The sequence below is a fragment of the Homo sapiens genome, chromosome 9 (assembly GCF_000001405.40).
Source record: "Homo sapiens chromosome 9, GRCh38.p14 Primary Assembly".
NCBI lineage: Eukaryota > Metazoa > Chordata > Mammalia > Primates > Hominidae > Homo > Homo sapiens.
Genome location: NC_000009.12, coordinates 12,117,799 through 12,130,514, shown reverse-complemented (window position 1 = coordinate 12,130,514; position 12,716 = coordinate 12,117,799). Strand labels below are relative to the sequence as shown.

At 31.8% G+C, this 12,716-nt stretch overlaps 1 long non-coding RNA gene across 1 annotated transcript in view; it reads left to right on the top strand.

Moving 5' to 3' along the window:
- Positions 1 to 12,716, top strand: part of LOC105375976 (uncharacterized) — a 60,514-nt gene that overhangs the window by 28,657 nt on the left and 19,141 nt on the right. The gene's annotated exons all lie outside the window — the stretch shown is intronic.

The window sequence follows — 12,716 nt, the reverse complement described above, 5'->3', positions numbered from 1 at the left end:
GGTATTAAAATAGGCATATAGAACAATGGAACAAAATAGAAAACTCAGGAATACATTTACATATCTACAACCACTTGATCTTTGACAGTGTCAACAACAACAACAACAACACATACATATAGATATACATACTGGGGAAGGATACTTTATTCAATAAATGGTGCTAGGAAAACTGGTTAGCCACATGCAGAAGAGCCAAACTAGACCATATTTCTCATCATATACAAAAGTTAACTCAAAATGGATTAAAGACAATTGTAGGACCTGAAATTATAAAAGTACTAGACGGAAACCTAGGAAAACAATGTTTCTGAACATTGGCTCAGGAAAAGAATTTATGACTAAGACTTTAAAACAAATGCAACAAAATAAAAATAAACAAATGGAACTTAATTAAACCAAAAGCCTTCCGTACAGCAAAAGAAATAATCAACAGAATAAACAAACAATGCACAGAATGGGAGAAAATATTTACAAACTATGCCTTCAACAAGAATCTAATAATATCCACTATCTACAAGGACCCCAAACAATTCAACAACAACAACAAAAAAACCCAAATAATCCTATTAATTCGTGGGCAAAACACATGATAGATATATCTCACAAGAAGACATACAAATGGCCAACAAACATTTGAAAAAATGCTCAACATCACTAATCATAAGAGAAATGCAAATTAAAACCACAACGTGCTACCATTTACACAAGTCAGAAGTGCTATTTTTAAAAAGTCAAAAAATAACAGATATTGGCAAGGATGTGAAGAAAATTAATGCTTATACAGTGTTGTTGAAAATTTTCATTAGTACGATCACTATGGAAAGCATTATGGCGATTTCTCAGAGAACTAAAAATAAAACTATCATTTGCTTCATCAATCATTTAGACAATTACTGGATATCTAAACAAAGAAATCAGTATATAAAAAATACACCTACACTCATATGTTTATCACAGCACTATTCACAATAGAAAAGTCATGGAATCAACCTAAATATCCTTCAATGGGTAATTGGGTAAATAAAATGTGTTATACCATGGAATACTATGCACCATATAAAGAATGAAATTATTTCTTTTGCTGCAATATGGGTGGAACTGGAGGCAATTATCTTAAGTGAAATAACTATTAAATAGAAATTAAAATTCCACATACTCTTAGTTACCAATGGCAGCTAAACAATATGCACATTTAGACATACAGGGTGGAATAATACACATTGGAGACTCAAAAATGTGGGAGAGTGGGAGAAGGGTGAGAAATGAGAAATTACCTATTGGGTAATAGGTAATGTATACTCATCAGGTGATGGATACACTAAAAAACCCAGACCAATACACAATATAGCCATATAACAATACTATACTTGTATCCCTTAAATCAGTAAGAAAAAAATTAAAAAGTCCATACTACACAAGGCAATGTACATACCTTATTTAATCCATATCAAAATTCCAATGTTAACTATTACAGAAGTAAAAACAAAATTATAAAATTTACATGGAATTGTTACAAATAACCACAAATACTCAAAAATATCTTCAGCAAGAAAGAAAAACTGTAGACATTATACTATTCGATTTCAAAATATACTACAAAGCTATAGTAATAAATACAATATGATATGGACATAATACTATACACATAGACAAATGGAACAGAATGGAAAGCCTAGAAATGAATCTATGTATTACATCAATCAATTTTTGGTTAAGATGACATGAAACACTTGGGAGGAAAGGACAGCATCCTCAATAAATGTTGTTGGAGAAACTCAATATCCACATGCAGAATAATGAAATCAGACCCTAATCTCACATCATATACCAAAATTAACCCAAAATGGATTAAATACTTAAAACTATAAAACCAGTAGAAGAAAGCATAGGAGAAAATCTGAAATTAGTCTGGGCAGTGATTTTCTGGATACGACCCAAAAACACAGGCAACAAAAGCAAAAACACACCAATGTGACTGCATCAAAATCAAATGCCTCTGCACAGCAAAGGAAACAATCAACAGGCTAAAAAGACAACCTATATAATGGGAGAATATATTTCTAACTAAAGAAGTTCATCAAAAAACTGAATATAGAACTACTATATGATCCAACAATCCCACTTGTGGGTGTATATCCAAAGAAAATGGAAATACTATGTTGAAGAGATATCAGCATTCTCATATTCATTGCAGCATTGTTTACAATAAACAAGGTATAGAATCAACCTATACGTCTGATTCCAAGGTATGGAATCAATCTATGAGATAGATAGATAGATAGAGAGATAGATAGATGATAGATAGATAATTTTCATTTATTCTTTCATTCATCCATCTCTTCTCTCTATACATATATATAGAGAGAATAAACAGATATATATATATATATATATATGTATACATACAGAGAGAGGGAAAGAGAGAGTCTATATATATGAATGGAATTCCTCTTTGTGTGTGTGTGTGAATGTGTGTGTCTCAGAGAGAGAGAGAGAGAACACACATACATACACACACACACACACAAAGAAGAATACCATTCAGCCTTTAAAAATAAGGAAATCCTGCCATTTCTGACAACACAAATAAACTTGGAAGATTTTGATTGAAATAAGACAGGCACTTTAAGACAAATACTGCATAATCTCACTTACATACAAAATATACAAAAATTCATCTTATAGAAGCATAGAAAAATGGCGGTTGATAATGTTCAGGGGCATGGGTGAGGAGATGTTGGTCTTAGGGTACAAAGTTTTCGTTAGGCAGAATAAATAATTTCTGGAGATGTAATACACAGCATGGTGACTATAGTTAATAATACTGTATTGTATCTTGAAATTGGTGAAGAAAGTAGATCTCAAATGTTTTAACACAAAAAATATAACCATATAAAGAGAATGATATGTTACTTAGGTTGATTTTAATAATTATTTCACAATATATATGTATATCAAAACATCCCATTATATACCTTATATATATATTCAATGTTTGTTAATCATATATTAATAAAGCTGGAAATATAAAATCTCTATTTCAATTCGAATTTGCTTCAAACATCAGCATTTTTTAAAACACTAGAAAGAAAGAGAATATCATAAAGCTTATTGTATACCCTCGAAATTCAAGTCAGGATGAAGGCTGTGGGCTACTAATGAACTGTTCTTGTATCATTTTCATTTTCAAGTGAAGTAGTATATGGTTGCTGAAAAATTGAAATGAATCATATAGAATTACATGTAAAGATAAGTAAAAAGTTACTTTCATATTCCTATACTTAAGCCTACACTTGTATCCTTCCAGATAATTTTATGAATACACAAATGTAATGTGATTAATGTCAAAACTTTATCTTACGTATCATTTTACAACTTCACTCTTGCCTACTTGTATCACTGGATTGCATGCACATTGTACACCTTTTTACTGTATTTATATTCCACAACAACCAAGCATATACATATAATTGTATGTGTGTGAATGTGTGTGTGTAGAGTATTTTTAAACATATGTAATTTTAACTCTAAAGAGTATTTTTATGGGTATATTGAAATTTGTTTTTCTTTCATTTCTTTTGTCTATCATCTATCCATCTGTTTATTATGAACAACATCATCATCATCATATATATTTCAAAAGAAAGAACTTACAGCATTTTATATATTCATTTTAATAGTTAAGTATTTAATTTCATTTGGAATTTAAAAAAGTGTAGACCTAATAGATATTTTATTTTTGCAAAAAAAAAAATGGCTAGCTATTTATTAAAGCACACATTTATCTCAGTGATATAAAACACATACTGCTGGACTTGGTGGCTCATGCCTGTAATCCCAGCACTTTGGGAAGCCAAGGCAGGTGGATCACTTTAGGCCAGGAGATCAAAACTAGCCTGGCCAACATGGCAAAACCCTGTCTTTACTAAAAAATATGAAAATTAGCTGGGTGTGGTGGGGCACACTCTAATCCCAGGTACTCGGGGGGCTGAGGAATGAGAATCACTTGAACCCAGTACAGAGAGGTTGGAGTGAGCCAAGATCATGCTACTGCACTCCAGCCTGGGTGACAGAGAGAGACTCCATCTCAAATAAATAAATAAATGAATAAATGAAAATTTAAAAATAAAATAAAATAAAGCACATCCTAAAATTTATATTTATATGTATATTCTTCTGACTGAACTGAGAAAGGAGAGTGCTTTGCTTAGATAGAAAAACAATCATTTCTGGTCTACATGTTACATTATTAAATGTATAAAATGTTTAATTTTTGGATTGGTCAGAGTGTATGCAATTATTTTCTCTAAGAACCACCAATACCGTCTATGATTTATTTTACCATATATTACCAACACCAATGCAAGGTGCAGTGGTTTTCATGTTATTCTATAATAAAATTTTATTTATATGTTTGTCATGCATAATATTGAAATCTTATGCAATATTTACCAAAACATTTGTGTTGAACACATTGTATGGGTGTATTATTTTTGTGTACTTTTCACAAAATATAAAACTGAAAGCTGATATGAAGAAATTTTTCCATGATATTTAACATCATCTAAATATGATAAATAACCTTGAAGATGTTGTAAATAAATACTATAATTAAATAATAATGTCATGGAAATTGATTAGAAGATCCAAAAAAAGAGTCACAGAAAAGTTATGCTTATAATATAAAACAATTGAAAAAATCACATGAGTTAAACCGTTTTGACATTAGTATTAGAAATTATCTAAAGCATCTAAAGTTATGAAATTGAATTCACCAAGAGGATATGAAATTGTAACATATTACATGAAGGAGGAAATATTTATAATATTTATAATATTTCATTGCAGTCCAATTAGTCAAATTTTTCTTTGGGATTAGCTAAATTTTATATTTCAAAATATTACTAAACTAAGCATGTAAAATCCCCCATTAAATTCAATTTATATCATGACTAGAGAAGTCACTAAAAGTGTTTCAAATTGTTCTTTCCTTCACTTTGTATTTACAAAGTACAACATGGAGGGTACAGCAGACCCACTGCTAAACTGAACATATTCTCTTATAATTATGCCAGGTAGTGTGTTGTGGAGAGTTGATCAGGGTGACTGGATGTAAAATATAAAATCTAGGATTTTGGAGTTCTTTGGACTCTTAAGTAGTTACATTTGTATACAGATGTATATACATATATTTACAGTATTTTTTTTCAAAGATACACACACACACACACACACACAAACACACACACTTCTAAACTGAAAACTCCATGTATTCAACTGCCTACTACTAGACATCTTCTCCAGCTGGATACCCATGTTTAAAACAAAACTGTTGCTTTTTCCCCCTACTCCTCCTAACTCTGACAAATACTGCAATATTTTCCATCTTAATACTTAAAAATGCCACCCATCCATTTGCTTAAGATAAAATCCTATGACTCATTCTTGTTTTTTTTTCTTTGGACTCTAGCTTTAAAAACAGTTGTTCAATACTTCAATTCTTATCTTTCATATAGCCACTATTCTAGACCAAATAATTTTCATCTTCACCAACATTTCTGTAAGCTTCCTAACTGGTTTCTCTGATTTATTCCTATAACTCAATCTTCACCAAGCAACCAAAGTGATCTTTTACAAGCATAAATCATATCACATCAATTCCATGATTTAACTTTTCAGTAATATCCCATTCCTCTTAAAATATATTCCAAATGCCTTTTCCTAACTGATCTTGTACATTGCTGGACTTGGACCTCATCTGATTTCATCCAGGCTGTGTGAGATTGGCTTACCTTCGCCCAAATGACTTGCATCAGCCAGCTTGCGACCACTGTAGCTTGGCTGACTTCCTCCTTCCCATATCTCTTCTGTCCCCTTTGATCACAAAACTTGACTTCTATAATCTCTATTATCTTAATTCTAGATTTTGAGATACTCATTTTGTCTTTCTTATTCTCCAAGGATCAGAAATAAGGTGATTTTCCTCTTTATTCTATTTCCCATTTTTGTTATAGTATTTATTCTATGTTTTGTTCACTTCTTGGTCTTTTGTGATTCTCAAGACCTTAATATGGAATTCGAACTAGAAAATTGTTATTACTTCTATAAAAATTTGCCTGCAAGTCTCCAATCTGTTTATCCTTTAGCAGAAGGAGGCCTATCTTGAGCCTTTCCTTAGTTGTGAGACACAGTGCACCATCTGTTAACACTTCAAAGCATCTGTATTCATCCATGAAACATGGTTCAAGACACAAGTCCAAGCATAAGGTGATTTCTGTCTCACCACCCCGATCCTATGTAGGCCAATAAAACTCTTATGAGTCAGCTTCTAAAAGATAACAAACAGATTTCCTTTAAATGGTGACTGCTGATCTAAATCAATGAATAAATTATCCAGGTTTGTATTACTCCAATAATTGTTGGAATTGAAATACTAGTCAATCAGGTGCTACCATATACAAAATCCAAATTAAATCATATTTGTAAAATATACCATGTTGTATTATCTTTCTTAATTTCAATGTAGAATGTTGAGTATGGATTTTGAGTACTTTAAAAATAATTTAACATGGTTTATCCTAATGACAAAGCATTTTAGAAAAATTCTCATAAATTCATTTATTTCTGCAAAACAAATTAACTATTTTTTCTTTATGTTTGGCTGGTGACTCTTCCTCATAACCCTGGATTCAGATTTAGTCTTACTGAAAATGCCAAGGTCTAAAATTATTCATATATCTATTTTAAGAGGAATTTACAGACACCTCAGTCTCTTGAGTATGACATTGAACAATCATCTGGTCAATACTTTAGAGTTTTGACAAAACTATGATTAAATTATTGCAGAAAGTTAACTATGATTGTCTTAAAATAGCAAAAAATTAACTTTCTTATCTCTTATGTAAATCCAGGAAGCTCCTCTTGATTTTTCAATTGAATTTCCCCACACTAACTTGTTTATTTATGTTTTCCTCATTTCAAACATTTTGAAGTGCCTCTAGCCATTGATAATAGAAAATACATTTATTTTTAGAGTCCATTACTCTTTGAGTTTGAGTTTTTAGTTTGTAAGCAAAGCAAAATGTCTCTCTCAGGTTGACCATTTTTACTTAAAGATATGCTTTGAGCAATTCAGTTGCAGGGATACAATTTGAAAAAGTGCTCCTTCACAACTCTGGTATTGAATGTAATTTTTACATTTGTTTATGACTAACCACAAACATCCAAACAAGAAAAACTACACTGTGTATAATTAAGACCTACTATAACTAAGAGTCAGTAAATGCTAATTAAAATCAATTTTTAAAAGCTATAATTATTTACAGGAAACAAAAAACAATTGACTTGGGTAAGCATTTTTTCTGCAATATGATCTAATTTACATATGTGTCTATGACTCAGTTTTATGCCTATGAAATAAGTAGAAAAATCCTAAACTATCTCCTAGTGTTGTTAGCATCAAAAAAATACGGGGTATGGTATTTTATGGTGCTTAAGAAGGAAGACCTTGGAATTAGAAAGATTGAAACCAAATCTTAGTCTTATTATATGTTTATACTATATTTGTGACCTTACTAAGTACCAAAATCATCACTTTTCTCATTGCAAAAATGAGAATAATCTATGTTATTAAAGGTTATATCTGACAGAGATTCAATAAGTTGTAGTTACGTAAAAGTATTTCATTGATTTGTAAAGAGCTATAAAATATAAGATTAATAATGACTATCATTTCATATGAGTACTGAGATGTAGGTTACTTTAACAGATCAATGTTAATATATAAAAAATGATATCTATCCAGGTGTGGGGTTGCTGGATTATATGGTAATTCTATTTTTAGTTTTTTTGGGAATCTCCATAGTGTTTTCCATAGCAGCTATACTAATATACATTCTCACCAACAGTATATAAGAAGAGTTCTCCTTTCTCCACATCCTTGCTAGCATTTACTTTGTGTCTTTTGAAAGTAGCCATTTGAACTGGGGTAAGGAGATATCTCATTGTGGTTTCCATTTGCATCTCTCTGATCATTAGAAATGTTGAACTTTTTTTTTTTTCATGTACCTGTGGCTATTTGTATTTTTCTTTTGAGAAATGTCTATTCAGATCTTTTGCCCATTTTTAAATGCAATAATTTGGCTTTATGCTATTAAATAGTTCGAGTTCCTTATATTTCTGGTCATTAATCATTGTTGGATGAGTGGTGCTCAAATATTTTCTACTGTATGATCTAGCAATCCCACTTGTGAGTATATATTGTAAAGAAAGAAAATCAGGAATATCAAAGAGATGCCTGCACTCCTATGTTTATTGCCACAGTATTCACAATAGCCAAGATATGAAATTAACCTGAGTGTCCATCAGTGGATAAGGAAAATGTGGTGTATATGCACAACGGAAAATTATTCAGCCATAAAGTACAAAGAAATTCCGTCATTCGCAGCAACATGGATAAAACTGGAGGTTATAATGATAAGTGAAATCGGCCAAGCAGAAAAATGTAAATATTGCATATTCTTACTCATATGTGAGAGTTAAAATATTTGTCTCATGGAGGTAGTTAATGGGATAATGGTTACCAGAGGCTGAGAAGGAAAGTGAGGATGAAGGGTGAAGAGAGATTGGTTAATGGCTGCAAAAATACAGTTAGATAGAAGGTATAAGATCTAGTGTTTGATAGCACAGTAGGATTTCTATAGTTAAAAGTGTATTGTATATTTCAAAATAGCTAGAATAGAATATTGGAATGTTCTCACATTAAAAAATGATAAATATTTGAGGTAATGAAATTCCAGTTACCTAGGCTTGATCATTATACATTTTACGCTTATATCAAAATATTACATGTACCCCATTTATATGTAAAACTATTACATATCAATTAAAAAACTTGAAGAAGTATAAAAAATGAAAGGTCTAATGATTCAGTGTAGTTTTTCAATCGATCTTATTTATCTGTTTTGGGAAAAGACGTACATTAAGTTTAAAAAATGTGTTTTTCAAAATAACAATGATGTTTGAATTGCTAATCATTATGACACAGAGAAGCCATTGTTGCTGTAAAAAGGTTTGTAATTCCAAGAAGTCTTGTCGTCAGTACAAGTGACCCACTTAAGGAAAGATATTATACACAAATGTTTTAAATGTGTAGTTATGGTTTCTTAGCAAAGTTCATGCCCAAATTCAGTTGACTAGTTCTGCACCTTATCAAAACAGTATCACAGTTGCTTTCAATGATAACTTTGCCTCAGTAAAGATTACATAATTGGGCAGTATTAGAAACCTCAACCTAAATTTTTCAAGAATAATTATATAAATCAGTGGTACTCAATCTTTTGGCACCAGGGACTGGTTTCATAGAAGACAATTTTTCCATGTATGGAAGGGTGGGGATGGTTTCAGGAGAAAACTGTTTCATCTCAGATTATCAGGTATTAGATTCTCACACAGAGTGTGCAACCTAGATCCCTCACATGCACAGTTCACAATAGGGTTTGCACTCCTATGGTGATCTAATGTCCTGGCTGATCTGACAGGAGGTGGAGCTCAGGCTCACTGCCCACTACTCACCTCCTGCTGTGCCACCCGATTTCCAACAAGCCACACACAGGTACTACTCTAGGGCCTGGGGTTGGGGACTCCTGATATAAATGATACCAGCATATTTTAATTTAGATTTTATACTAAATTAATTTCAATACGAAATCAAGTATATCTTAAGATATAGTTTTTCTTTTCAATAAAATGTTCTTTTCAAGTAGCTCTGCATATTTTAAAGTTATAATAATTATATTTTACTTTTTGAAAAATTGATGCTAAGTCTCTGGTGAGATTTCACATTTGAAATTTTCTTGATGATAATGATGTTAACTTAAAAACCTTGACAGGATCCAGTGCAGTGGCTGACACCTATAATCCCAGCACTTTGGGAGGTTGAGGCAGACAGATCACTTGAGGCCAGGAACTTAAGGCCAGCCTAGACAACATGGCAAAACCCTGTCTCTAATAAAAAATACAAAAATTACCCAGGTGTGGTGGTGAGCACCTGTAATCTCAGCTACTCAGGAGGCTGAGGCATGAGAATCTCTTGAACCTGGTAGGTGGAGGTTGCAGTGAGCCAAGATGACAACACTGCACTGCAGTCTGGGCAACCTGTATAGAATTTAACCATTTCTATTATCTGTTTTAAGGTCTTGGATTTGTTTCCTGTATTTTGGTGTTTTGATATATATATATATATATATATATATATATATATATATATATATATATGTTTAATGTTAATTTTAAAAATCTTTTTTTAAATTTAGAAGCTCCAAATGATGTCATTTTTAACCATAAATCTCACATCTATATGTCTAAATTAAATTTATCTTCTGCCTGTATTCACTTCTGAATGATTATCATTGACTGTTATCTCACACAAAATGTTTCCCACATATTACACAATTACAACAGGGGAATATTTTACCCATTTTATAGTTGAACAAATTTACTCAGTGATAATAATGACTTTCCTAATTTTACATCATTTGGAAGTTACAGCATTTTGGATCAAATCCAGTTTTTCTCACTGTGAAACTGGAATTCCTTGCTACTAACAAAGACACATGCAAATACGTATGGTTATTTAATTTATTTTTTGTTTGAATATTTATATTAATATAGTGTGGATAAAAGTTTAATAATAAAGTAAATTATGTTATATTTAATAAAAGTAAATCATGCTATATTTAATAAAGCACTTTTGTGAGTAAATAATACAAATTGTATCAGAAACAGAAATCAGTTTTTATCTTACATATAAGAGTAATTGATTAATTTGAAAACTGTAAAGTTTTTTTGTTGTTGTTTTGTAGTTTTTTTGTTTGTTTGTTTTGTTTTGTTTGAGACGGAGTTTCACTCTTGTTGCCCAGGCTAGAGTGCAATGGTGTGATTTCGGCTCACTGAAACCTCTGCCTTCATGAGTTCAAGCAATTCTTCTGCCTCAGCCTCCCAAGTAGCTGGGATTACAGGCGCCTGCCACCACACCCAGCTAATTTTTTTGTATTTTTAGTAGAGATAGGGTTTCACTATGGCCAGGCTGGTCTTGAACTCCTTACCTCAGGTGATCAGCCTGCCTCCCCCTCCTAAAGTGCTATAAAGTATTTAAATGTGTGTCACCTTTAGATGTTTAGCATATAAAAGAAAACTATTAGTCATTAAATTAATATATTACTTCTTGCCTATCATTTTTATAGATAGTTCCTACTCTCATACTGATCTAGTGAATCTTCCTTGGTGATAAATTTGTCCTTTTTAAATGTAAAATCAATTATATCTCCTATTGCATAAATTTCTGCAATAGATTATCATTATAAAAATCATATGCTTGAATATGGCTTACAAGCTCCATTACAATGGGCTTTTCTTACTTTTATTATTCAGTCTCTTCTACAATGCTATAAACATATGACATCCAGATGAATTTTCTAGGACTTTTGTTTCTAGTCATGATGACTACCTTGCGTCAGGCTTATGCTTCCGTCAAGAACAACTAGAAAACATCTTTTTAAAGTTGCCAGAAAGCTGTGAGGCAACAAGGAGCTGATGGGTCAAGATTCCAAAAGAAGTGAATTTCAGAGTATGAGTTGAAATGCCGCATTCAGCTTTTCCTTCTGGGCATTATTTATTCTTGGGGCAGGGCAGAGATGGAGAATAGTAGTAGCCAAGACTATGTAGCTGTCAATCCTGTAGATTTTTGGCAATTTTATAGAGGTAGAGAAGCAAAAATAAAAATAAAAATAAAAAATGAAAGGTACTACCATGGTAGAATAGTCTTGGGCAGTTCAATATTCCTTTATGAGGCTTTAACAGACTTTGTAATTCTGTAAAATTAAGCAGCATACTTCTGACACAGATGGTAGTGTACCACAGTATCATAGTGACGAGAAGACAAAAACTGGAATTCATAACCTTCTAAGGCAGAGAATCCAGTAAACTCCATAGACTCACAGACAGAACTCCTGGGGTGTTACACTCTAAAAGTCTATGCTAATTATAGGTAGACACAGCTTAATAAAAAATCCAAACCAGCAACCAGTCAGCTCTGTCTCTAATTAGATTAAGATGTTCTATTCCTATTCCTATTGAGGACTGAGGATAGAGCTCAACCCTTCTTGAAAGAAGATGATAAAATGTGTGACATTTTGTCAAAAAATACTCTGCAAAATATGAATCAGAACCAATAGACAATGACACTGACAAAAGACTAAAATATTGAACTTACTAGTCACACATTTAAAGCACCTGTCATAAATATGTTGAAAAAGGACATAACAAAATGGAGAACTTCAGCAGAGAACTGGAATATATATTTAAATGACAATCAAATAAAAGCCTATAAATTGGCCTGGCATAGTGGCTCATGCTTGTAATCCCGTCTATGATTGTGCCACTGCACTCCATACTGGGCAACAGAACAAGACTGTGTCTTAAAAATACACATACAAATACAACAATTAGTAATTCAATATATAGTAATATTGTATATATAGCATAGTATGTGCAGCCATTAGAAAGGAGTACTTTTGCACTAAAAGAGAGGTAAATAGAAACATGTAGTTTGAATCATGGAGAGTAAAACAAAAGAGAAAAAAGAGAAAAGAGTATCAGACACATTGGGACAAGTTTGAAATTTCTAATATACTGAGATTTTGAGTCCCAGAGAG